The 27,863-nt window shown below is 38.7% G+C and overlaps 1 protein-coding gene across 7 annotated transcripts in view; it reads right to left on the reverse strand.

Moving 5' to 3' along the window:
* Positions 1-310: 310 nt before the first annotated feature.
* The window catches only part of CFAP97 (cilia and flagella associated protein 97), a 50,584-nt gene continuing 23,031 nt past the window's right edge, over positions 311-27,863 (reverse strand). For 6 of the 7 annotated variants that reach the window (XM_047416016.1, XM_047416015.1, NM_020827.3 and 3 more), the window contains 3 exons: positions 16,432-16,697; positions 4,675-4,825; positions 311-3,571 (listed from right to left, as the gene is read on the reverse strand). In XM_047416016.1, the coding sequence (XP_047271972.1) occupies positions 3,444-3,571; positions 4,675-4,825; positions 16,432-16,697 (545 nt within the window). In that variant the 3' untranslated portion in view covers positions 311-3,443. Of the gene's footprint in view, positions 3,572-4,674; positions 4,826-9,676; positions 10,987-16,431; positions 16,698-27,863 lie in introns of those variants that run through there. The other variant, NM_001292033.2, reaches the window with a different exon arrangement.

The following is a 27,863-nucleotide window of genomic DNA, read 5'->3' on the forward strand; positions in this document are numbered from 1 at the left end:
AAAATACAAACAACAACAACAACAACAAGCCCATTTCTTTAAGCTGTAAGAGTGTCCACTGTATTGTAGTACCATAATAATTTTACAGAAGCAATTAGATGATGTAGTTTAAAGAAATTCTGATTAAGAATATAATTTTAAGCAAACTCTTTTCCATGTAAATACTTTCAAAGACAGAAATAACTGACATCATCCTTCCAACTTTATTCCTACTAATTCTTGGTCTTGTAAGGCACGTAAAAATTATTCTAATTTTGAAAATTGGAACAAGACAGCCCATTTTAGAGATAAACATAGGATCAAAACTCAGTTATCTTTAATTCTTTTATTTCTTTCTTCATTATGCCAGGCTAGTTCTAAATGCCTAAAATACATTAAAATGGAACAGAAAATCTTAAAAGGATGTTAATTTTAAGTTTCTTACTAATCTTTCCTCATAGAAATAAAGAAGCCATAACTGTTAAGCACATTTTCTAAGATTGTATATAATCATTTATAGGTTAAGACTTTTTTGGCATTGAAGATAGTAAACTTTTTATGAATGTAATTATTAAAGTATAATCAACTCACATCTTTGGGTTTATATTGGTCTTAACATGTTTCATAGTTTGCAGTATTTGAAGAATCTGAAGATGACAGGCACAGCCGTCACTTACCCATGACCGTCACCTTCCTAAAGCTGTCTCGATATCTACTGTGGACACTCAGGTTAGCGGAGAGAAAACAACTGCATTACACTACATTTTTAAGCAAACCAAAGAACTTTATTTGGAGTAATAGCTAAGAAAACAGCTTTTTATGGAAACTGAAAAAGAGAGCAGAGGAAGTATAAGAGCTACCCCTTAAGAAATAACTTTAATAGTTAAAAAACTTTCGTAGAATCTTACTAAAAAGGAGGCAACATTAGTTTAAAAAATAACTGAACAAGAATCTGGCCTAATAACCAGACCTCGGATTAGCATACTTTCTAGTTATAGATGTAAATCTTCAAAGTACATATATTCAGTACAAGTCAAAAAAAAAATAAAATAAAATAGTGCCAGACCATCCTTTACTTTTTCATGTCCTTGAAATGAGAAGAGTAATGTACTTAAGTAATTCCTTCTTAAGAATGTCCCTTAAACTATAACAACTTCATAGCATCTTGACTTAGAATATACCACATTTTCCAAGTCCTATTTGTCTATTTATATTCATTATATATAAGTAACCATGACAACAGAATTGAAGTTCCGCTTAAAAGACTCTTGCCCTTTCCAACTTTTACTTTAAGTTGGATCCCTGTTATCAGTAATACTTAGATGAACCTCCCCTTTCAAAGTAGTAAAAACTAAAGCATTAAATTAGTACCTAAAATCAAAGTACAGTTGTTATTTATAAAACTATTGTGTTGTATCCTGACATGTGGCAACAAAGATAATATAAAATGTACTCAGAGACTAATGCCATTATGAACAGAAAAGACTATATATAAATATATAATCTTTATATATATATAAAAATCTTTTTTAAAAGATTTTTAAAATAAAATTTATAAAAAAGATTTTTTATATATATAAAAAGATTATATATATAAAACATATATATATATTTTTTTCTGGAACAACTTAAAAATCAATTTTAAAAAAACTGATTAATTCACTATTGGACAGATGTTCAAATGCTAAATTTAAAATTCAGCATTATCTTCTCTCTCTTGAAATATAGGTTATATAAACAGTAAAAGTACAGTAAGTTAAAAAACAAAAGAAAATAAAGCCTTGGTTTAGTATAGCTCAAGCTTATATACACAGCAGGTATAGTAACTTGTTCACCAGAACAGAGCATCGAATAACATTGAATGAAAATTATGGCCCCCAAAAGCAGAACCTCAAAGCCAGGTTGTGGCCAGGTGAATTATTTAACCTCACTGTGCCCATGTTCACAGGCCTGATCCTTAACAAAATCTATGAATACAAACTAAATCCAAGACATGTTGAATTGATGTTTTGTAAAATGCAGTAACACCTTACTGTTAAAGGTGCTAAGGAAAAAAGCATTCAGCATACATGCTACAGAGCCTGAGCACTGAAAAATGAAAATCTTATTGTGGCTACAGATCAAAAATTCATACTGAAAAAGATATTTGTCATTTAACATGGAACCTTTCCAATACATTTTAAGGGCATACTGAAAAGGCTAGTAGTGAAAAACGGCGGTAACAATGAGATAACATACTTTGTTATATAAAAGCCTAAGTTTCATAGAAAAAAAATTCTAATTTGAAAAGTCAACAACATTAAACCCTATCTGCCATTACCAATTCCATCAAGATTACTAGGTCTTTAAATGTGGGACTGGTAAAAATAATACTTCCAGGGTTCAATCAAATAAATCAAAGTAAACCAAAACAAGAAAATTAGCTAATACTTAAAGCAGCAGCCTCAACAAATGTGTGATTTATTTCCCTTTTTGTTCAAATTTTAGTTTTTTCAGGCCTTATAAATACTTGCTGGAATTTCTAAAGCATTTCTTTCTTACGCTAAGTCTTCTCTAATAACATAATAAATACTGAATTACCTAAAACACTGTCCGACACACCTCAGGATCTGCTTCTCGGCTCTTCATGCTGATAGTGCCATTTTACTGATTCAACAAATACTTGGTTTGCAACTGATGTGGTCCTTAAACTATTCACGAGTTAGAAGACTAGCTCTAAAACCTACCTCATTTCTAAGAGTCATAAATAGGACTTTACCTGAATGCATGAAAACACAAAAGGGAAGCTTCTAAGTTGAACTTTCTAATATTCATATTTGAAATGGTTTGGAATGATTGATCAAACTTTTAAGATCTAACTCAGTGCACTTATACAACAACTAGATACCTCTGGTGAATTACAAGAATTGCTCCAATAGAAGCGTCTCTCAATCTGCTCATCAAATCTAGATCAGCTCTACCAGTGAAAACAAATTTCAAGATTTGTTTCATAATAAGTGTTAAATCTCATACAATCGAGCTATGTCATGCCACATAAGTTCTAAAGCAAATGAAAAACAAAGCCAGCCAAATTTAGGAGCTGAGCTCATGGTATAACACTTATAAAGAAATGAAAATAACACAAATTGAAAACTATAGTGACCATCTTGGGTACGACATGCAATGATACTATCACTACTATTTTGACAGCATGACAACTGAATAATTAGAAGATACACATGCATACCACTATTTCTCTATTAAGAACACATACATCTCATATAAATACATCCTCAGGAAACACTTTTTACATTAAATCGTTTTTTGACAATAATTTTGCACTGAATAACAATACATTACAACTCACTGTTGTACACCTTCAATTGCTAAAACGGTATTCTAGATGTTTACACAGAGAATTATAGGAATATGCACGAGCACTTCAAGAAAAGTTGTGTGAACAATGTTTAAAGTAAAAAAGTGTTTTATAACCAAGCTGTACGGACATTAGGGGGTTTAGGTCTTCTTCGAGGGTGGCCACTGGAGGGGTCAACCGCTGATCGCTCACTCCTACAACTGAGACCACTCGTAGCACTGGATGTCCTGGAAGCTCCTGAAAATATAAAAAGAAGAAATATCTGAGAAACTTCTCCTCACTTGAAGTCCAGACTAGTTTTTCTTCCACATTCTATGTGTGTCTAATAGTCTAATGCTATGATTCTCGACTAGGATGCACTTCAGAATTCCCTGTGGAAGTTAAAAAATATAATAACAAACATATCCAGATGCCACACCAGGGGATTTTGATTCACTGGATTGGCGTGGAAAACAAACATTTTTAAAAGCTTCTCAAATAATTCACGTGAAAAAAATGACTTTGTATAACCATTTATATATCTAATCAACAAATAACTTACTACATTTAGGGACAATGCTAAGTATGAGTTACTAAAATAAGACCCTTTCTTAGTCACTATACCACGGAAGCAAGGTTTGGAGAAGGAATAAATGGAACTACTAGTCTTGAGAGTTGAAGACTCACGAGGGCGGGCGCTGGGAAGTTGTGGCATCGGGCGGTTTGGTATTCCCTTCTATTTATTATATGGTTTAGAATGCATACATGAAGTACAGCAGAGACTTCTGTAAAGGACACTGGCCTTTCTAGATGTTGCACACTCCAGCACTAAATGGTCACTCCATTCCTGTACTCTCTGGGGCACACAGCTGGCTAGGTCTGTAACTGATCACACAACAAGCCTTACTGCTTACTGTAAAGCGGTAAGGCTTGTTGTGTGATCAGCTTGCTAATTTTTGTTTTAGTTATCCAGTAAGTAAGAAAAAGCACATATAAGGGCTGGAGGCTATTAGCAATGATTCTTAACTACCTAAGGAGAATGTTTTAGCAGCTTTTAAACAGCACACCTATGTATTTCTTCCTTCAATAAACTTTGAAATTAACAGTCCTTCCTCAATTACCTAAGAACCTACTGATATTTTTGATTGTTTTATCTCCTGGTTTCCTTCCTGTCATTATATGCTGTAAATGAAACCTGAAATTAAGTGAACTAATACAAATAAAACAAAACATGACAGTGGGAAATAACAGAACGCATTCCAGAGTTGGCATTTAAAACTCTATCATAATAACATGTTACGTTTTTTTAAAAAAAGGATACAAGATACAAATAAGTATAAAATAATTTCCAAAATGCTTACTTAATGGGCTATATTGGCCAAGAGTGGATCTGGCCCGTCTTGACAATGGTGATGAGTTGAGATAGCCCATATTGCGATGATAGTCCATCAGTTGTTCTGAACGTTTCATACCAACTGTTGGTTTCACGGCCTCAAGCCTTTTCAATAAAGCCTTCAATAAAGACAATTAATTTGAAAGGCAAGGTTAAACAGCAATCATTTTTAACAAGGCAATACATTCTAGAGCCTGACATTCACTTTCTTTCTTTTTTTTTTTAAGAGACAAGATCTTACTCTGTCACTCAGGCTGGCCTGGAACTCCTGGGCTTAAAGGATCCTCCCATCTCAGCCTCTCAAGTAGCTGGTATTACAGGTGCCACCCACCACATCCCGCCAAAAGATCTTAAATCATTCTCGACATACCATGTGAAAAACATTTCAAATAATATAATTTCATAAAAATCCAAGGGTTTTTGCCTATCCCACAGCTAACCAAACCACTGTGATATAACAATTCATCCAGAGGTGTCCAATGGAGAGAATACAGTCATGGGTTCTTAGTTTCTGTTTCTGGTTGGGCCAGTAAAGCCCCTTCCTCATCTCTCTTTTCTGCATATCACTAGAGACAGAAACTAAAAACCATGGCTTCAGGCTGCTAAAAGCCTAAAACAGAACAACAACAACAAACAACAAAATAAGGTAGGTTAGACAAGCTTGCTAGAGGCCTAATTCTTTTGTGCCAGGTTAGTCTTAGGAAAGGTGCTGTAAGTTGAAATAAAATACACTAAACCTGATTTTCTCATAGACATGATGTAATAGGAGTTATAATGCTAAGAACCTAGTGTTAGACCCTAGGAATGAGCACACACATATGGAAGCTACTACAGATTCTCCACATGTACATTGCAGAGCAGTGCCTTTCACCCTGTTCCTTTGCAGTAGTGCCTCAAGGGCTTGTAGGCCACTGGGGAAAGGCCAGCAGGGAGGGCCCTCGGGTCTTCCACTGCTAGTTTCTACTAGCCCAGCTATGCTTTCTGTATTGTCTGTTTTATATACTAAAGATTCTGCATAACATTTAATTTGGAGAAAAAAGCTTTTGCTGTTAAGAAGTCTGAAAACCAATTAGTATAGAATATAAAGTTTTTAAAAAGATATGTAGCCTGGGCACAGTGGCTCACACCTGTAGTCCCAGCACTTTGGGGAGCCCGGGGCGGGTGGATGACCTGCTTGAGTTCAGGAGTTCCAGACCAGCCTGGACAACATGGCGAAACGCTATCTCCATTTTAATAATATTTTAATAAATTTTAAAAAAGGATATATATACCAATTGGCCAAGGCAACACAGTATCCAATAACATGGTAATTTTTTTTACAATTCAGTAACAGAGACTCATGCAGAATGTTATAAATTTTGTTTATAACTATTTCTTAAAAGGTGAAAGAGTTTATCCTGTTGGCTTTTCGTAGGCATTGTTGAGAAAGAAATACCGAGGTAGACCAAACAGCTTGGGGAATTGATCCATGATTGTGTTTTATTCTTTTCTTTACTCATTCAAACTTTCTCTGAAGGAAGCTGATCTTATTTGCAAAGGGAGTACTGACCTGCACTAAGTTTCACACTAAAAAATCAGACTCATGAATTCAGTCATAGGACAAGTTTTCTCTGTACAATCTTTTCTTCTTTCTTCCTTTTACTGTGGTAAAATGAAACCACATTTTAACCACTTCTAAGCATACAGTTCTGTGGCATTTTGTACACCCACACTGTTGTGAAACATCACCACCGACTCCCATAACTTTTCTTCCACTTGGTGTTTTATCAGTTTCACCCCCTGCCCTTCCATGCTGAGTTCCTGAGCAATTCCAAAGAAGGAACAGATGGTGGAAGAATAAGCCAAGATATCCAGGGGAAGGGCCACTTAGAAAAGGGAGAGGAGGAGGTTGTTATAGAAACAAAAGGAGGCTTGGAGGCAAACAGCAGAGGTGCAAAACACATGAAGAACCGGACAGAACCACTGAGAACATCTTTACTGCCTCCCTGCATGCTATTCCTTCTGCGTGAAGTGCCCCTTCCTAATTTTTGGCCTTCAAAAGCTAGAAAAGAGTCACCTACTCAAATTACCCAACTAGTATTAGTGGTTCCCTTTGCTGAGCTGAGTTTTTATTTCAACATGATTCCACCTGACTGTAAAGTCCACGGTCTTCCCATCATATCCTCTTTCTTGCATTGTGGACAGAGAAGCAGTGTGATGTAGGTGTCCAAACCTCCTGAAATCATATCTTCTCTACCTGCAGTTTGTAACTGTGCAGGAACTTCCTGGGGCCACATCTCCAGTGTATTCTACCAGCAGAGTGCATTTGCTGTTTTGTCTGATTATCCTATTAACTACACACTGAGCTGTGCAGGGTGGAAAGGACAAGACAGAAGACCTGGCATTTTCAGTTATCTTTCATTTTTGCTTTTTTGCTGGTAGACGTCTCAATGTCTATTAAACTCCTAGTGTCCTAAGTTTATTTATTTGGTTGGATGAGTATTTTTCTTTTACAAATTTTAAGAAAATTACAATACTTATTCATCACATATAAAACATACAGATGTGATCAAAATCAACAATAATGCAAAAAGTAAACCCATTCTGGAGTCTGATACATCAATTATCAAGTTTACATGCAGAAACTTAGGGAAATAAGAGAGAAATGATTCGGCTCATGTACCCAAATCACATGGAACAACACCATGTGTCCATCTGAGTGTTACATGAATATAACAAGCTAAACAAAAGCTAAAGGATTTGAGAAATAACTCTTGCCTATAGAAATAATATCAAAATACAAAGTGTTGATTACCCTAAATTTTAAGGTGTAAACCAACCTTGTCCAACCTGTGGCTTGCAGGCTGCATGCAGCTCAGGATGGCTTTGAATGCGGCCCAGCGCAAATTCATTAACTTTCTTAAAACATTATGAGATTTTTTTTTGGTGATTTTTTTTTTTAGCTCATCAGCTATGGTTAGCATATTTTATGTATGGCCCCAGACAATTTTTTTCCTTCCAGTGTGGCTGAGGGAAGCCAAAAGAATGGACACCCCTGGTGTAAGCCCCAAAATCAAAAGTGTATGCATTTTAATTTAGTCATCAATTTAGAACTCTTATGCAAAAGTTAAAAAACAACAGTTCAGGCTGGGTGCAGTGGCTTACATCTGTAGTCCCAGCACTTTGGGAGGCCAAGGCAGGAGGATCGTGTGAGCCCAGGAGTTCAAGACCACCCTAGGCAACATGGCGAGACCCCGTCTCTTACAAAAAATACAAAAATTAGCCGGGCGTGGTTGCATGTGCCTGTGGTCCCAGCTACCCAAGAGGCAGAGGAGAATGGCTTGAGTCCAGGAGGTCGAGGCTGCAAGTGAGTCATGATCACACCACTAGACTCCAGCCTGGGTGACAGAGGAAGACCTTATCTCAAACAAACAAACAAACAAAAAATTTCAAAATGCTGTAACGATTGTAATACAGTGATAATAAATATAAGCTATATGGTCAGAAAGATTTGGGCTTAACACTTGGCTCTGCCACTGATTGTGTCCTTGATCAAATTCCACGATAAGGATATTAATAACGAAATAACCTCAGAGTCAGTTTTTAGTAATTAAGTGATAGAATGCATCTAAAGTGCTTAAAATAGTGCCTAGTATCTAGCAAGAACTTATTCAGGCTGGGCGTGGTGGCTCACCCCATAATCCCAGCACTTTGCGAGGCTGAGGCAGGCAGATTACTTGAGGTAAGGAGTTCGAGACCAGCCTGGCCAACATGGTGAAACCCCATCTCTACTAAAAATACAAAAAAAAATTAGCCCAGTGTGGTGGCAGACGTCTGCAGTTCCAGCTACTCCGGAGGCTGAGGCATGAGAATCACTTGAACCTGGAAGGCGGAGGTTGCAGTGAACCGAGACTGTGCCACTGCACTCTAGCCTGGGTGACAGTGTAAGACTCCTTCTCAAAAAAAAAAAAAAAAAAAAAGAACTTATTAAAATTAGTGGTATTGTTAATATTGCTGTATTTTCTAGTTGTTTGACATGCAACAGTATTATCTTCCCAGCTAAGTTTTAAAGTACATGACAGTTAAGGGAGTATTTCATATGTATTTTATATTCCTTCCTTACATTGCTCATAACAAATACTAAACAAATATTTAATGGATTAAAAAACAATAAGAATGGTAATGTACGGTTTACAAAATCTTAGAACTGCCACTCAAATCAGATTCTAATAATGAATCCCAAAAGAGTTTGCCCACTTTTTTTTTTTCAGAAATTGCATTTTTTGGCTGGGTGCGGTGGCTCACACCTGCGATCCCAGCACTTCGGGAGGCTGAGGCAGGCAGATCACCTGAGGTCAGGAGTTTGAGACCAGCCTGGCCAACATGGTAAAACTCCATCTCTACTAAAAATACAAAAATTAGCTAGGCATGGTGACACACACCAGTAATCCCAGCTACTTGGGAGGCTGAGGCAGGGGAATCACTTGAACCTGGGAGGCAGAGGCAGAGTGCTGCATCACTGCACTCCAGCCTGGGAGACAGAAAGACTCTGTCTCAAAAAATAACAATAAAAGACCAGGCACGGTGGCTCACGCCTGTAATCCCAGCACTTTGGGAGGCTGAGGCGGGCAGATCACGAGGTCAGGAGTTCGAGACCAGCCTGGCCAACATGGCGAAACCCCATCTCTACTAAAAATACAAAAATTAGCTGGGCATTGTACAAAAATACAAAAATTAGTGGGCAACTGTAATCCCAGCTACTTGGGAGGCTGAGGCAGGAGAGTTGCTTGAACCCAGGAGCTGGAGGTTGTTGGAGCAAGCCGAGATCGTGCCACTGCACTCCAGCCTGGGCAACAAGAGCAAGACTCCGTTTCAAAAAAAAAAAAAAGGTGCAATTTTGGGTAATTATGTATATTAACGTAAACAACTTGAAGTTTTAATATAGGTATACATGCTGAAATAACACTTGAGCTACTTACACATCCATCATCTCACAGAGTTACCATTTTTATTTATGTGTGTGGTGAGAACACCTAAGATCTAGTCTCTTAGCAAATGTCAAGTACCCAAGGTACAAAGTTCCAGTCATGCAAGATGAGTAAGTTCTGGAGATCTAATGTACAGCATGTTGACTATAGTTAACAATACTGTGTTATATACCTATTGATACGGTCTGACTCTGTGTCCCCACCCAAATCTCATCTCGAATTGTAATCCCCACGTATGGAGGGAGGGACTTGGTGGAAGGTGATTGGATCATGGGGGTGGTTCCCCCATGCTGTTCTCGTGATAGTGAGGGAGTTCTCATGAGATCTGAGTTACTTAAAAGTGGCAGTTTCCCCTGTGTTCTCTCTCTATCCTGCCACCATGTAAGACATGCCTTGCTTCTGCTTCGCCTTCCAGCATGATTCTAAGTTTCCTGAGGCTTCTCCAGCCTTGCAGAACTGTAAGTCAATTAAAACTCTTTTGTTTATAAATTACCCAGTCTCAGGTAGTATCTTTACAGCAGTATGAAAATGGACTAATACACTTGTCCAAACATTTATTTTATATCCAGGAATTATTCTCTTTGGAAAAAAAATTAACCTAGCCCATCTTTTGATGTTTAAACAAATGTAAACAAATAAATGTCTTAATGATTTCTGCAGCCGTTAGCAGAGGAGAGTTGCTTTAGTGTTTCTAGAGCGATGAAGCAAAGACCTTGTAAGGACACTAAAAAGTAACAACTGTCCCCCACACAGGCAGAATCAAGACGACTGCTCTCTACATTTCAACAGTGGGAGTCACACTGAGTTATCATTAGCTTGCTTTCTTCAACGGAAGGAGATAACAGACCTTAACCAGACAAGAAGGAAACCCCAATGAAGTAAAGTATACATTATTTCAAGATCTTAGAACAAAAGTACTGTTAATCAACAGATTAATATTCATAGTAGGTATGAGACTTGCTATAAATCATTTTTGTGACAATTTATCACAATCTCCCTTTAATTATTCCACATAAGAGTTCTGAAGTTACTCCTACAGGCCAGGCACAGTGGCTCACACCTGTAATCCTTGCTCTTTGGGAAGCTGAGGCAGATGGATCACTTGAGGTCAGGAGTTTGAGACCAGCCTGGCTAACATGGCAATACCATCTCCACTAAAAATACAAAAATTAGCTGGGTGTGGTGGTGTAAGCCTGTAGTTCCAGTTACTTGGGAGGCCGAGGCAGGAGAATCACTTGAACCCAGGAGATGGAGGCTGCAAGGAGCCAAGATCACGTCACTGCACTCCAGCCTGGGTGACAGAGCGAGATAGTCTAAATAAATAAATAAAATAAAGTTACTCCTGTATACTAGCAGACAAAGCACAGAAGAGGATAATTTTATTTTTTACTTATTTATTGAGACGGAGTTTTGCTCTTGTTGCCCAGGCGAGTATCTTGCCTCACTGCAACCTCTGCTTCCCGGGTTCAAGTGAGTCTCCTGCCTCAGCCTCCTGAGTAGCTGGGATTACAGGAGCCCTGGGATTATAGGTGCCCACTACCACACCTGGCTAATTTTTTGTATTTTTAGTAGAGATGGGTTTCGCCATGTTAGCCAGGGTGGTCTCCAACTCCTGACCTCAGGTGATCCACCACGCCAGCCTATTTTTCATTGAATGTTTTTATGAACTGCCTTAGGCCAGGTGTGGTGGCTCTCGCCTGTAATCCTAGTACTTTGAGACGCCGAGGCTGGTGGATCACCTGAGGTCAGGAGTTTGAGACCAGCCTGGCCAACATGGTGAAACCCTGTCTCTACTAAAAATACAAAAATTAGCCAGGTGTGGTGGCACAGGCCTGTGATCCCAGCTACTCAGGGGGCTGAGGCAGGAGAATAGCTTGAACTCAGGAGGCAGAGGTTGCAGTGAGCCAAGACTGAGCCACTTACTCCAGCCTGGGCGACAAAGCAAGACTTTGTCTCAAAAAAAAAAAAAAAAAAAAAAAAAAAAAAGAACTGCCTTAAGTTTCTAAATTCATACATGCCTTTTATTTTTAAAACAAAATTCTAACACGAGAACTCCTAACTGGAAAAATTATGCTAACAGGTACAGAAATCATCATTACATTATTTATTTGTTTGTTTCAATTTTTCTACATGAAAAGATGGGCTATTGTCTATTTATTTTCATTTCTCTGAATTTAAAATTTGCTAATGAGCTAGGCGGGGTGTCACACGCTTGTAGTCCCAGCTACTCGGGAGGCTGAGCTGGGAGGATCACTTCAGCCCAGGAGTTCAGCCTGGGTAACACAGCAAGACCTCATCTCCAAAAGCCAACAAAAAAATCCCCCCAAAACAAGAACAACGAAATAACTAAGGACTATTTTATTTACACACATAATCTTAGAAAGTAAAAAAAGGAAAATAAGTTAACTCCATTTAGTTAACTTTAGGCTCCAACCCTGATACTACATTCCTCTAGGAATCTTACTTCCTCCATAACTTTGCTTGAATTACTTCTCTCCCCCAACATTCTTTCACACCTGAGGACACTGACACACATTTAAAAGAATGAAATAATCTCACTTCTTCTTAGAGGGTAAAGTGAAACCATCAACCAAGTATCTTTAACCACCTCTCCTTCTGCTAAGATTGTTCTTATGCTCATTCGGAAAAAAGTTCAAGTGAAAAGAAAGAGATATGGTTTAACAAGAATATTTCTTTCTTTTTTTGAGATAGGGTCTTGCTCTGTCACCCAGGCTGAACTGATCACTTGAACCCAGGAGGCAGAGGTGGAGTGATCACGGCTCTCTGCAGCCTTGACCTCCCAGGCCCATGCAATCCTCCTGCCTCAGCTTCCTGAGCAGCTGGGATTACAGCCATGCATCACCACACCTGGCTAATTTTTTATTTTTTGTAGAGATGGAATCTCACCATGTTGCTTGCCCATGCTTGTCTTGAACTTCTGGGCTCAGGCAACCCTCCTGCCCTGGCCTCCCAAAATGCTGGGATTACAGGCATAAGCCACTGTACCTGGCTAAAAATAATATTTCAGAATTCATGAGTTAAAAAATTACTCCCCTTTTTACAAGTAATAAAATTCTAATTTTATTTAAATTATAATGATAATTGAGGCTGTCTACTGATAAAGTTATCTACTGGATAAAAACACTCTATTGGATAAAATTTTCATTTCTCTGAATTTAAAATTTGCTAATAAGCTAGGCTAATAAGCTAGAATAATTTTTATTCCCTTAATTTTTGTTTGGATGCAATGTTTAATGAGAGGAAGGATAATATCTACCTATTGAAACAAATAATGATGATCTTGAACCTCATCAGGACAGATGAACAGTATGCTTTTAACTCTAGAGCACAGAAGTCAGTTTTATACAATCGTTGCCTTCCTTCTCTACCTTTTCTGCACAACACTACTTCTTTGTCTGGGATTATTTCCATCTAAATAGCCTCTGAATTGCTAACACACTGATGTAAGAGTTCTGGAACAGAAATGCTTTAGTTATCATGTCTGTTAGCCAGCTGAATTGTTCTCTGTCACTGGAGAGAGAGCAAATGAAAGGATATAAATCATCAAAAATATAAAGGAATGAATTCTGTTTTGCAGTATATCTGACACTGAAATAACTACAAAAGTGTGTCTCTGTGTGCTGAACATATGCATGTGTACTTTGAATATTAACAGTCTAGCAAACAGATTAAAAAGTCTATCAGCCTGGGTGCAGTGGCTCACACCTGTAATCCCAGCACTTTAGGAGGCTAAGGCAGAAGGATTGCCTGAGGTCAGGAGTCTGAGACCAGCCTGGGCAACAAAGTGAGATCCCATCTCTACAAAAAAAAAAAAAAAAAAAAAGCATTGGCTCACACTCAAAGAGCAAATGTGGCTCTTTTTAAGGTTGAGTATGAGAAGGCTTGCAGTATGGTTAAGACCATACTTCTGGTCAGGAAGGTAGTATTTAAGACTGTCAAACAGGCTCCAATATAAATAATTAGATTTATATTACAGGCATGAGTCACCAGGCCTGGACTAATAGGATTTTTTAAATAGAAAAATAATCAAAGTCAACGGGCACAGTGGCTCACGCCTGTAATCCCAGCACTTTGGGAGGCAGAGGAGGGAGGATCATGTGGTCAGGAGATCGAGACCATCCTGGCTAACACGGTGAAACCCCATCTCTACTAAAAATACAAAAAATTAGCCAGGCATGGTAGCAGGCGCCTGCAGTCCCAGCTACTCAGGAGGCTGAGGCAGGAGAATCGCTTGAACCTGGGAGGCAGAGGTTACAGTGAGCCGAGATCACGTCACTGCACTCCAGCCTGGTGACGAGCCAGACTCCGTCTCTTAAAAAAAAAAAAAAAAAAAAGTAAACCCAGGTTCCTTAAAAAGCTAAACACAAAATTACCATATGACCCAGGAATTCTACTCTATGTGGCCTTAAGGAACTAAAAGCAGGGACATGAACAGATAGTTGCCAATATTCACTTCAGTATTATTCACTATAGCTTAGGTCTACACCTACAATGGAATAGTATTCAGCCATAAAAAGGAATTAGGTTCTGATACATGCTACAACATAGATGAAACATGAAAACATTTTAAGTGAAATAAACCAGATACAAAAGGACAAATATTGTACAGTTCTACTCATATGAAATATTTAGAATAGCCGAATTCATAGAGACAGAAAGCAGACTAGATGCCCTTAGAGGATAGGGGTGGGGAAAGGAGAGTTGTTTAATAAGCACAGCATCTGTATGAAGTGATGAAAACGTTTTAGAAATAGATGGTAGTGACAGTTGTACAACACTGTGGATATGCTTAATGCCACTGAATTAGACACTTAAAAACTGTTAAAATGGCAAATTTTAAGTTATATATACATTACTACAACTTAATAATATACCAAAACCATTGAATGTGTACACGTTAAATGGGTAATGGTATGTGAATTATATCTCAATAAAGCTGGTTAAAAAAAAAGGTAACCCCAAAGCTAGGCAACCTGGATTTGCACCTGGGCTCTGACACCTGCTAGCCGTGTGACCTTGAGTAAGTCCCTGTGCCCCACTCAGTGTCTCTTTTACTCTTCTGTAACTACAATAACTATAAGATTGCTATCAGGACTTAATGCCTAACACTTGTAAAATAGTATGCACAATGTAATTTCTTATTAAATGCGATCGGCCCAGAGCCAGGTGTGAGAGTGAAAACAAAGGAAGTAATCCCATATGTTTTTGACATACGGGAATTTCAAATTTCCACGAAACATGAACAAATCTTGAATACTGCGAAGGTGATGTGTGGAAAGCTATCATCTATCTCAGCTCCCACCGACCTCATTTCACCTAGCTTAGTTATCTGTTCCTTGCCACATGCAGGGTAATCCTCTTGAAGGGTTCAAGACTACTATTTTTTATAAATAGTAATCCTAGCTTCCCAACTCTTGGGGTTAGTATGATAATAAAGAAATGTACAAAAGAGTTGTTACAAGTTTAGGTAAGTATATGGTTACACAGGAAAACACTGGTAATGACACATAAGGAGGGTTAATTTTGAAAATGGTCTTAATAATTTTAATAGCTTTCTAAATTATTTTAGCTCTGAGTTTACGTGTTCATTAAGGGTCTAATTCTAGTTTAAGAGACTACCCAGGTTTAAAATCTTGGCTCAGCAGCATACTCAGTAGCTCTGTGCTAAATATTTAACCTGTCTAACCCTCAGTTTTTTCATCGTGAGATGTGGATAAAAATAGTTATCTACTTCAGAGAATTGTTGTCAGGATTCAATAAGTTAATATTTGGAAGATACTCAGAACAATGCCTAGTGTTTAGTAAAAGCTCAGTAAATATCAGCAATTATTATGAACTAAATCTTATGAAGAAAATATGCTATAATAGTTTTAAATGTGAAGATTTTCAACAGTTCCCATATTTATTTTCTTATAATATCAAACTATATGATTTGTAACAATCAATGTTTCATACATTTAAGTAGCAGATTAGCAATTTGGCCTATTCGAGATATACTGATCCTTTAAAATAAGTGATGTACAATTTATTTTAGCTTTCCAGGACACAATAAAGTAAAAGAGATTTCACTAGTGACTGAATACTTCACAGAAGAAACACTTGGATACCATTTCCTGTTCTACTGTAGTGATTTAACTGATCTAGGCAAATAAATAATGGAGCTTTCAGTATTTTCCTTTAATGGTCTCCTTCTCTCTCTCTCTCTCTCTCTCTTTTTTCTTCTCTTTTCTTTTTTTGAGGTGGAGTCTGGTTCTGTTGCCCAGGCTGGAGTCCAGTGGTAGAATCTCGGCTCCCTGTAACCTCCGCCTCCCGGGTTCAGATGCTCCTCCCACCTCAGCTTTCCAAGTATCTGGGACCACGGGTGTGTGCCACCATGCCCACCATGCCCAGTTAATTTCTGCATTTTTGGTAGAGCTGGGGTTTTGCCAGATTGTGCAATCTGGTCTCAAACTCCTTGCCTCAAGCGATCTGCCCACCTCGGCCTCCCAGAGTGCTAGAATTATATGCGTGACCCACTGCATCTGGCCAGTGGTCTCTTAATATATAGTTTCCTGGATAAAAATACATATCGTATCCTCCGGACTTACAGCACATCATATGTTTCATACCACACATACCGCACCTGCTTTTATGTAATGAAGTTTGAATATTTGGCTGTATTTAGGTTTCCTGTAAGCTGGACATACAAATCAGTGCAAACACATTTTCTTTGATGACTAATTATTTCAGTTACTTACCAAGTTTTCTCTCTCAATCCTTTGTTGTTCCTTCTGTCTGTTGAGAGCACTGTGATATAACTTTGGGGGATGATCAGCCGATCTAGGAATTGTACTTTTGCTTCCCGGCTTTTCCGCCTGTCTTGACAGTTCTTTCAAAAGCCTCTGATTTTCCCGATCGATCTGTCTCACCTCTTCTCTTGTGAAAGAGTAGTTTTTCCCGGGTGCTACTGAAGGCTGATCAAAGTGATGTTTTTGTGGTCCTTTTTTATCTAATTGCAGAAAAGCTACAGAAAAGAACAAAAAAAAAAGAGAAAATGGCCAAAGTAAGTATGTGGTACATGCTTTTTTTTTTTTTCTCTTTTTAGACGGAGTTTCACTCTTGTTACCCAGACTGGAGTGCAATGGGACAATCTTAGCTCACTGCAACCTCCGCCTCCTGGGTTCAAGCGATTCTCCTGCCTCAGCCTCCAGACTAGCTGGGATTACAGGCATCCACCACCATGCCTGGCTAATTTTTGTATTTTTAGTAGGGACAGGGTTTCACCATGTTGCCCAGGCTGGTCTCGAACTCCTGACCTCAGGTGATCCACCCACCTCAGCCTCCCAAAGTGCTGGGATTGCAGGTGTGAGCCACTGTGCCTGGCCCGGTGGTACATGCTTTAACCCTTAAAAATATGTATTAAATTCAAGAAAAAGTATGTATGAAATAATACTAATGACATCTAGATTACAACTTTGTAGAAAAAAATTGGACGTAGCTTAGTATTTTATGCTCACCGGGTTCCTTGGGCATAAAAGCTACACACGAAACAATGAAAGTATCTTTAAAAATGTATATAGTACTGGTCTTTAGGCTAGTATAATTTACAGACAATGCCTTTGTTATATCAATTTTATCCTTCCCGACTGCAGTTTAATAGCTGGAAAGGTTAGAAACCTCAGAGTTGAGGGCACTAATACAATACTTAATTTAGGTACAGCTTTTCTTAGTTGGAGGGCATACTTCCAAAAAAATGTCCTCAGCAATGACTGAGGGAAACAATGGCAAAAAGTAACTCCGAATATTCCAAAACTCTCAACTTAACCAGAAAAGATGCTGGATTTATAAATCTTAATATTGCCATTAAAGCAAATACTTCTACTGTAAAAGTCAAACATTTTATTCCTGATTAAACAGAAAGGTGTTTTTAGCTAGCAACAATATTTTGCATACTATAATTTTTATCAACATGCTTATTTCTTAAATTTCCATATTATAATTATCAATAAGTGCAATTACTACTAAACATTTGTAGAAAACATCCAAAAGTATTAAACTTGCTGAATGTTTCAGGTTAAGTATGTACTAAAAAGGGACACACTGAGGCCAGGCGCGGTGGCTCAGCCTGTAATCCCAGCACTTTGGGAGGCTGAGGCAGGTGGATTGCCTGAGGTCAGGAGTTCGAGATCAGCCTGGACAACATGGTGAAACCCTATCCCTACTAAAATACAAAAAATTGGCCTGGCTTGGCGGTGTGCACCTGTAATCTCGGCTACTCAGCAGGCTGAGGCAGGAGAATTGCTTGAACCCAGGAGGCAGAGGTTGCAGTGAGCCGAGATTGCGCCATTGCACTCCAGCCTGAGCAACAGAGTAAGACTCTGTCTCCAAAAAAAAAAAAGGAATACACGATATCAGATTAAGTAACCATTATTTGTTTTTGTTTGACTATCCTTATGTTAATTTTTTAAACATGTTTAGCATTTTATGCTGGGACATTTTTAATCCCCTATTTAAAAATAAGTATGGGCCAGGCACAGTGGCTCACAGCTGTAATCCCAGCACTCTGGAAGGCAGGGATGGGTAGATCACCTGAGGTCAGGAGTTCAAGACCAGCCTGGCCAACATGGCAAAACCCCGTCTCTACTAAAAATACAAAAATTAGCTGGGCGTGGTGGCACACACCTGTAATTCCAGCTACTCAGGAGGCTGAGGCAGGAGAATCGCTTGAACCCAGCAGGCAGAGGTTGCAGTGAGCGGAGATCATGCCAGTGCACTCCAGCCTGGGCGACAGAGCAAGACTCCCATCTCAAAAATAAAACAAAATAAATAAATAAAAAATAAATAAAGTAAGTATGGTATAGAAAAGTTACATCACTTGGGCAAGGTCACAAAAATTGTAACTCTACTTCCCTACATTTAAACCAAAGACTATTAAAGGTTACAGAAAATTTTAAAAAATAATTAACAGTGGCTTCCTGGTAGGAAAATGAAGAAATTAATGATTGGTAATTTGCTGAAAAGTATGCCAAGTTAGTGACAAAACCTGAATGAGAAACATTTAGAGAAACAGACTTAGATGCATAAAACATGTGAAATTATCTTGCCTCCAAGAAATACGCATTTTGTAGAACAAGGCTTCTAGATTATAAGCCCTTTAAAATTCAATTCTAAAGGAAATTAATAGTAAGCTATTTTCCCCTAACGGTTTTTGTCTTTTTTTTTTTTTTTTTTTTTTTTTGAGACAGGGTCTTGCTCTGTCGCCCAGACTGGAGTGCAGTGGCGTGATCTTGGTTCACTGCAACCTCTGCCTCCCCAGTTCAAGCGATTGTCCTGCCTCAGCCTCCTGAGTAGCTGGGATTACAGGCGCCCACTACCACGCCCGGCTAATTTTTGTATTTTTCGTCGAGATGGGGGCTTCATCATGTTGGCCAGGTCTTGAACCCCTGACCTCAGGTGATCCACCTGCCTCGGCCTCCCAAAGTGCTGGGATTACAGACATGAGCCACTGCACCAGGCTGAAGGGTGGGTTTTGATCAAAGGGCAGCATGAAGCAAATTTTCTAGGATGATGGAAATGTTCTCTATTTTATATTAGTTACTACTGCTCTGCTAACACATCACCACAAGACTTAGTTGTGTGAAGCAGCAACCTGCAAAGACTCAAAGAGCAGGATCAAAGTGCCTAACCATGGCACAGGAAATGAGGTGCTCCTGGAACAGACTTAGCACAGGTGGACCAGCTTTGGGACCTGGTGGCCGGCAGAGCTGCAAGGGCCTGGAGAAGGCTGTTGATGAAGTCTGAGGGGATGAAATGGCAAAATGTCCAGCGACCCTGTGCTTGCGGTGTTAAGGGAAATAGAGAAACTAACGACCACACTGGTAGATCTGGCCCAGCAGACCCCCAAGCAGAACGCTCAGAGCACCAGTGGTTTATTTTACCCACAGTAAGAACGGACAAAGAGAGGGGCGCTAAAAAAATCATAAAAAGAACTGGCCAGTTTTCAAGCAAAATTTAGAAAGAATATAAAAGAGCCAAGACTTAACGGGGTTTAAAAGTAAAACTGCTCCTCATCCCTAGTCTTTCCCAGGAGATTCTCAAAGTACTCAAAGAGCCATGGCTGAGAAACCAACACCTGAGGAATCTCAGCTGCAGCTGGACCCGACTGACATCCTGGATCTCAAGTTAGGGGCATCTGTGGAAAGAGCGAATGCATTCTTGCATATGGGAAGAATGTTAATAAATCTGTGGCCGGAAGTTGGACTGAAGAGATTTTAAGATATAAAATCTTTAAATTAAAGATTATTATAATTTACATTATTTGACACTCCTCCCATTAAGAAGTAGAGGTTTATGCCCTTTTGCGTTAAATCTGGGAGGGTTTATGACCATTTCAACCAATAGAGCATGAAAGAAATGATGCTATGTGACTTTTGAGGCTAGGTCATAAAAGGCAATGAGGTTTCTGCCTTGTTTCCTGGAACACACGTGCTTAGAATCCTGAGCCACCATGTAAGAAGTCCAACTACCCTATGGCTGAGACGTGAGGAAGCCAGGCCACATGGAGAACCCCACATGGGCCCTTGGGTTCTGGCCTTCAGGCTGTACCAAGCCCAGGCACCTGATGTGAAAACACAGCACTGGGTTGACTGTAGTCCCGGCCACTGAGTCACCTCTACCTTTGGGTCTCTCTATTCCCTAAGTGTTGGGGTAATCTGTCATGCAGTAGTAGCTGATTAGTTCATCACTTTTAAAAAAGCATTGTGTGACAAAATACCTGTGGCCAAGAGCATCCCACAAGCAGATGCTAGTTTTTGTTGTTATTTGGTTTAAATTGATTATCAATGCTTCCATGGTGATGTGGCTTCCCAAATGTTATTTTCCAGTTCTATTTTGCCTTTATCATACATTTCAAATCAATGAATTTTATCTTTTTAGTGTATTTGACCCATTTACTAATGTGAAACACCCTTCTCTATCTCTTTTAGTGATGTTCACATCTTGAGTTCTATGTTGTATATTAATAGGATTGATAAGTTTTACTTTCTCCTTGTTAAAGGAGATATTGGCATGTATTTTTCTAGCCCTTATTTTCATTCTTCCTATACTATTTTAAATATCTTTTTAGGCTGAATGTTGTTTATTTTTTTCCCAATTCTGTTGGCATATACTGAGCACTCATATTTAGCATAACAGAAACCCTATCAGACAGGGCTAGTGTTTTATTTTTTTATTGTGGCAAAATACACGGAACACAAAATTTACCACGTTAACCATTTTTAAGTATACAGTTCAGTGGTACCGAATACATTCATATTGTGTAACCATCACCACCACCAGTTTCCAAAACTCCTTCCATTGTGTAAAACAAATTCTGTATCCATTAAACTCTGACTCCCCATTGCTCCCTTCCCTTCGCCTCTGGAAGCTTTGTCTCTATAATTTCGACCACTCCAAGCATCTCATATAATCATACAGCACTTATTTGTCTTTTTGAGATTGCCTTATTTCACTTAGCATAATGTCCTCACGGTTCACCCATGTAGCATTATGTCAGAATTTCCTTCATTTTTAAGCCTAAGTAATACTTCTGTATTTTTTTTAATATGCTCTGATAGTATCTTCTGGTAAGTTAAAACTACCCAACCACCCACTTGCATTCTTTGTACTTTTTTCCTGTAATCTTTAACTGAAGTTTTGTTACTGTTTTTTCTCATTCTTTTCTATTTTGGGAGATTGACTAAGTTAAAAACTTTTTTCTCTAAGATTTTCTCCAAAAGTTTGTAGCATTATGAATAGTCTAATCACCTATTCTAGTTCCATTCTCCTAAACCTCAGGACCCCTTAACACCCCCCCTAAAGACTGAGGACCCCAAAGAATGTGTATGTGGGTTACATCTACCAATAGTTACCATGCTAGAAATTGTTTTAAAGATATTAATTCCTCTAAAAATAATAAACCAATTATATGTGAACATAACATTTTTATTTTAAAAAGTCAGCGAGTGGCAGAGTTTGTTTTGCAAGTCGTTTAATGCCTGGCTTAAAACCTTGTCTCTGCAGACTTTTGTCTGCAGACAAAATACTCTAAAAATACAAAAATTAGCCAGGCATGGTGGCACACACCTGTAATCCCAGCTACTGGGGAGGCTGAGGCACGAGAATTGCTTGAACCAGGAAGGCGGAGGTTGCACTACTGCACTCCAGCATGGGCAACAGAGCGAGACTCCGTCTCAAAAAAAATAAAAATAAAAAAAAATTAATTAAATAAAAAGCAAATCAAGGCATAATCATACTTTTTTTTTTTTTTTTTTTTTTGAGACGGAGTTTTGCTCTTGTTGCCCAGGCTGGAATGCAATGGCGCGATCTTGGCTCACTGCAATCTCCGCTTCCCAGGTTCAAGCCATTCTCCTGCCTCAGCCTCCCGAGTAGCTGGGATTACAGGCATGTGCCACCACGCACGGCTAATTTTGTATTTTTAGTAGAGACAGGGTTTCTCCATGTTGGTCAGGCTGGTCTCGAACACCCGACCTCAGGTGATCCGCCCGCCTCGGCCTCCCAAAGTGCTGGGATTATAGGCATGAGCCACCACACCCAGCCGGCATAGTCTTAGTGAAAACAGTTTTGTCCTCAAAGATCCTAAAATCATCAAGCTTGCTCTTTTAAGAGTTTGAAGTATTACATTCTTCAGCTATGAGTCTGGTGCCTCTCTGTTGGTTTTTGCTTTTCTTAAATGTTTGGCAATACTTGGTAGTGTGTTGAGGGCATTGAGATTTCCTGCAGTTTGCCAGGAAGAAAGGATAAAATGTGCTGCCAGGCAGGACGTGCTGGTAGCTAATCTCAGTATGGGCATCTCCTTTCTTATGGAGCATAACAGGGTCTGTATCTTCCCTTGAACAAGGCACTTCACTTCAATCCCTCACACGTTGGTATCACTTTAGCAAAAAATTTAACCAGTTTCTTTGCTCATCAATGCTTCTTCAATCCCATTTCTTGTATTTATTTTTCTTCTCAAAATACATCCTGTAGTGATTATTTCATAGTTTATATAGTAGATTTTGAGGCCATGTATTTCTAAAATATTTTAAATTTTTGCTGTTTCAGATTCTTTTTAAAGTGACCTAATTTTACCTATACAAAATATGAAACATACCTTTAAATCTAGTGTGGTCAACGTCTTCAATGCTCTCCAAATCGGTGAGATTCATACCATAACTTGATGTCTAAACTTCTGTTTACTACTCCATTTTTTTAATGCCCTCTCTGCCTATTCAGGGATTTACAGGTCAAGATGAAGGATCTAATTCCAACCATTTTTTGACATTTACATAGCAAAGGCAGCTTTGCATGGAGGTGGAAAATTCCCCAAGTCAGCCACCCTTGAGCTAAAAGAGGTTGAATATTCAGAAATTCGACTAATCTTTCAAGATCCACTTCAAAGTCCTGTATCTAATACTGCCACTATGCAATGGTCTTCCCTTCTTCCACTATTTCTCACAGAACCCGAAGAACTCTGAAGTTAGAATGGACCCTAGCAACCTATATCAACAATCTCCTCCTACAAATAGAGTGCCTGAAGCTCAGAACAGTTGCTGTCTTGTTTGTGATCATGTCGGTAACACCCAGAAGCCTAAGTTTTATTCCACTTTCAAAACTGTCTTTACCTTGGTTCAACACTGTCTCGTCATTCCATGCCCTATACTGGTAGATTCAATTTTACATTCTTTTATCAATCTTTGTTTCATAGGCTTAATATTTTATAGTTCAAATTTCTATTTCATAAACAACAAACGGGCTGGGCGTGGTGGCTCATGCCTGTAATCCCAGCACTTTGGGAGGCTGACACGGGCGGATCATCTGAGGTCAGGAGTTCACGACCAGCCTGGCCAACATGGTGAAACCCCGTCTCTACTAAAAATACAAAAATTAGCTGGGCGTGGTGGTGCCCGCCTGTAATCCCAGCTACTCGGGAGGCTGAGGCAGGAGAGTCACTTGAACCCGGGAGGTGGAGGCTGCAGTAAGCTGAGATTGCGCCACTGCATTCTAGCCTGGGTGACAGAGCAAGACTCCGTCTCAAAAAAAAAAAAAGGTTCTTTTAAACCAATAAAATGTTGATGTGGTTGGCTATACAGGTATCCCTCATTATCTGAACTCTCACCTAATATGGCTGTTAACTTGCAAAATTTTTTACTTAGTATTCACTACCTTAAGCAGTAAACTGGTTTACCGAACCTCTGTACTGAAGTCCGTGAAAATGTTTAAACTGAAAGGATGCAGAGAGTATGCTGCATTCCTGCCTCAGCTGTGCTCTGATGGGCTCACATGTTGTCTTCACCATCATCCTCCCCATACTAAGTGGATTTATGTTCCAGGAAGTAGAAAAGGCAGTGAAGAAATTAGGTAAGCCAAAGCAGCCTAGAAAAGCTTATTTAGTGTAAGTTAGAAGTGATAAAGTGTATTGAGAGATGAATGCAGAAAAGGCACAAGCCTGGCTCTGCATTCATATCCACCTACCATGACCACAGTTGCAGTTATATGGTGGAAAATAAAGAAAACATAGGAAAATAATTTTGGATCTGAAATGCTTCACTGTGTAAATCGAGCATGAATGATAATTTTGAAAAATGATTGCAATACCTTATATAATAGACTGACAGTCCTAATTAGTGTTTAAAATGCTTTATTATTATGAAGAATCCTTGGTGGATTGTTATATTATGGACTCCAATAACAGATGTACCAACTGGCAAAATGCCATGTTTGTTCCTGCGCCTTAAAAAGCCCTGAGCGCCACCTACTGGCAAATCTCTTCTATCAGGGGTTCTTTACTATGCAGTACTATGAATAAAGCTTCCCTTCTACATTTTAGCTCAGCATCTGTGTTAAATGCTTTTTAACAGTATTTCAATTTAATTATAATTGGGGAACTGTTCAGGAGTTTGGGGTAGGATTATTTTTCTTATTTAAAAGTTAAAAATATTTAGGTTCTCTATATCTAATTAAGTTTCAGAAATGGGTTAGACAGGAAGAGTGAAGAATGCTTTATTTTCAATGGAACCAAATAGTTTACTCAGTGTCTTGATATTCAGACCATGGTCCCTAGATCTGCAGCACGGGTATCACCAGTAGGGGCTGATTAGAAATGCCGATTTAGCTCTTACCTTAGTTTTACTGAACCCAAATCTGCATTTTAACAGTATCCCTGGGTTAACCGTATGCATACTGAAGTTTGAGAAGCTCTCTTGGACAAAGTTGGCTGCCCAATTACTGTATATCTATTTTCCTCCTACTTCACAGATCCCTGACTTCCAGGGTGAGCCTGCTTGGCCCAGGATAATCCCATTTCCCCTACCAACGACTGGTTCGGGAATGGGAGCGTAACCAGTTCTGGGCAAGGAGACCTATGTGGATGTTGACTGGGCCAAATTTCTTTAAGAAGTTTCCTCCATTCCAAGAGTCAGAGAAGAGACACTGTCTCTTCCTCTGGACACTGTTGTGTCTGAAGGTGAACACTGAAAACGGCTGCAGACATCTCCTAGCAGCCTAAGAACGAAGCCAACACCAGGGCTGGAGGAACACAGTGCTAGAAAGTAGGTCCCTGATGAAGTTTTGAGCCACTCAATCAACCCTGAAGTCTAGCGTGTCTTTGGGTGACCTGTTATATGAGAAATATTGTTTCATTCGGAATTCCCTTCTTGTATTCAAAATCCTGGATAATCACTGATGACTCTGAACAAAAAGCCCAGAAATCAGACTATTTTCTATTAGATGGTTTTTAAAAACTTGACAATTCTAAGAGTTGAGTGTTTTCTTCCTGTAAGAAGCTTTTTATTGGCTGAAACAATACCTTCCTTTTGTATGCTCGTTTTTTAATCCTCTTTCCTAGGATACAGTGGGGTTTATAATTTGTGGGAACAAATAGTACTTACAAGATTTTAAAAAACGGAAGTGTCCCCTTAAAAATAAAAATTATGATTTAGTCAAACAAGCCCATATTTAAAAAATAAAGCCCACTAGACATATTGAACATTTTAATTTATCTTCTAGAACATTTCTCTTTTCAACCCATTTTTAACCTAATTTTATAAGAACAATACTTTTTAATGCCAAACAATAGGCTGCAACTTTTTAACACGTTTCCCATTTGCCCCAAGAAATGAGTGCTGGCAGTGAGCTGTACTTTTTTTTTTCTGAACAGGAAATGGGTTCAACACATACAAATCACAGTAAGAATTATGAACGAAGAGCAATGCAGCAATAGAAATTTGATGCACAAGAAAAAAGGCAAATATATCAAGATATATGTTATTACACAATATTAGTGAGCAATCTGCATTATCTCATGATATTTTATGATTTAATTTCAACCACCATCCAATTTTTGCATTACAAATATAATTTTAAAGAACAATTCTGTCACTTCAAGGAAAACAGTTGACAGTATTTATTACCAATAATAAAATTTGAGCTTTTTAGCAAAAAATAGTATTTTAGGTAAACTTGTATCTGCCACCATGAGTTTGACAGCTTCTCAAGAGCTTTCTGATGAGGCTGGTAGTGATATTAACAACTATGATTTCTATATAATGTATTCTGAAATTTGCCAACCTTTTTTTTTTTTTTTTTTTTTGAGACAGGGTCTTACTCTGTCTCCTAGGTTGGAATGGAGTGGCGTGATCTCAGTTCACTGCAACCTCCAACTCCCTGGCTCAAGAGATCCTCCTATCTCAACCTCCCCCCGCAGCTGGGACTACAGTAGCACACACCACCATGCCTAGCTAATTTTTGTATTTTTTGTAGAGACAGGGTTTCACCATGTTGCCCAGGCTGGTCTCAAACTCCTGGGCTCAAGTGATCTGCCTACGTCTGCCTCCCAAAGTGCTGGGATGACAGGCGTAGCCACTGTACCTGGCCTGCCAACATTTGTAAGCTCAGTGAAACAATATTTTCCAAATACCCAATATGTCACATTCCAAAACCAGGCATAGGTAAAATATACATTAAAAATCAATCAAGAAAGATCAATATGTTTTAACATAACAGACTTGAAATTCACGATTAAAAGTTAACTGAGATTAATTTCAGATTTCACATTGCAACTAACATCTAAGAAACTATTACTTGTGGGCCAGGCGAGGTGGTACACACCTGTAATCCCAGCACTTTGAGAGGCCGAAGCAGGTGGATCACCTGAGGTCAGGAGTTCCAGACCAGCCTGACCAACATGGTGAAACCCCGTCTCTACTAAAAATACAAAAATTAGCCAGGCGTGGTGGAGGGCGCCTGTAATCCCAGCTACTCAGGAGGCTGAGGTGGGAGAATTGCTTGAACCCGGGAGGCAGAGGTTGCAGTGAGCCAAGCTCGCGCCACTGCACTGCAGCCTGGGCAACAGAGTGAGACTCTGTCTCAAAAAACAACAACAACAGAAAAGAAAATACGACTTGTGGTATAAAAAAATCCACAAGTAACTGAAAAGGTTATTAAAATACTCCTTCATTTTTGAACATTTTGCATATGGCATATTTTCTATACATCCTTTAGCCAATGATATATAGATTATAATAGATTATAAGCAGAAGCTGATTTGAGAATCCAGCTACATTCTATTAAACCAGATGCTAGTGATTAGCAAAAATCACTAATTTTTTTGGATATACACCTTTTTCATGACATACATTACTTACATTATATGGCAACTACATAATGAGTTTATTACTACTATTAAACAAATCAATATTTTAAAAATGTGTAATTTCTAATATGGTAAATATTTACAGATATAAGCTATAACCTATATAAACAAAAGCTCTTCAGAATCCTCAATAACTTTTATGAATGTAAAAGTGTCCTAAGACCAAAATGTTTAAAAATCGTTGTGTTAGAGCACTTGAGGTTGGTGCTGGAAATCCAGAAGAGCAGGAGAGAGCTGCAGCCTGCTGTCTGTCAACCCAATAAATCATCCACCTAGCGAATCGTATGCTCTAGCTTAACTAATGAACACACAGACTGGAAAGTGGCCATAAGAATTATAAGAAAAAAGAATTACAAGAAAATTGTTACCCCAGATGGCTTGATTAAAAATTGGAGATTTTACCCAGGGGAGAATATTAATCAAATGTCTTAAAGATTATAATGCAGAAGGATGCACAGACTTATTCTATGTATTTCAGATGGCAAGTTTTAACAGGAATGG

The sequence above is a fragment of the Homo sapiens genome, chromosome 4 (assembly GCF_000001405.40).
Source record: "Homo sapiens chromosome 4, GRCh38.p14 Primary Assembly".
NCBI classification, from domain to species: Eukaryota; Metazoa; Chordata; class Mammalia; order Primates; family Hominidae; genus Homo; species Homo sapiens.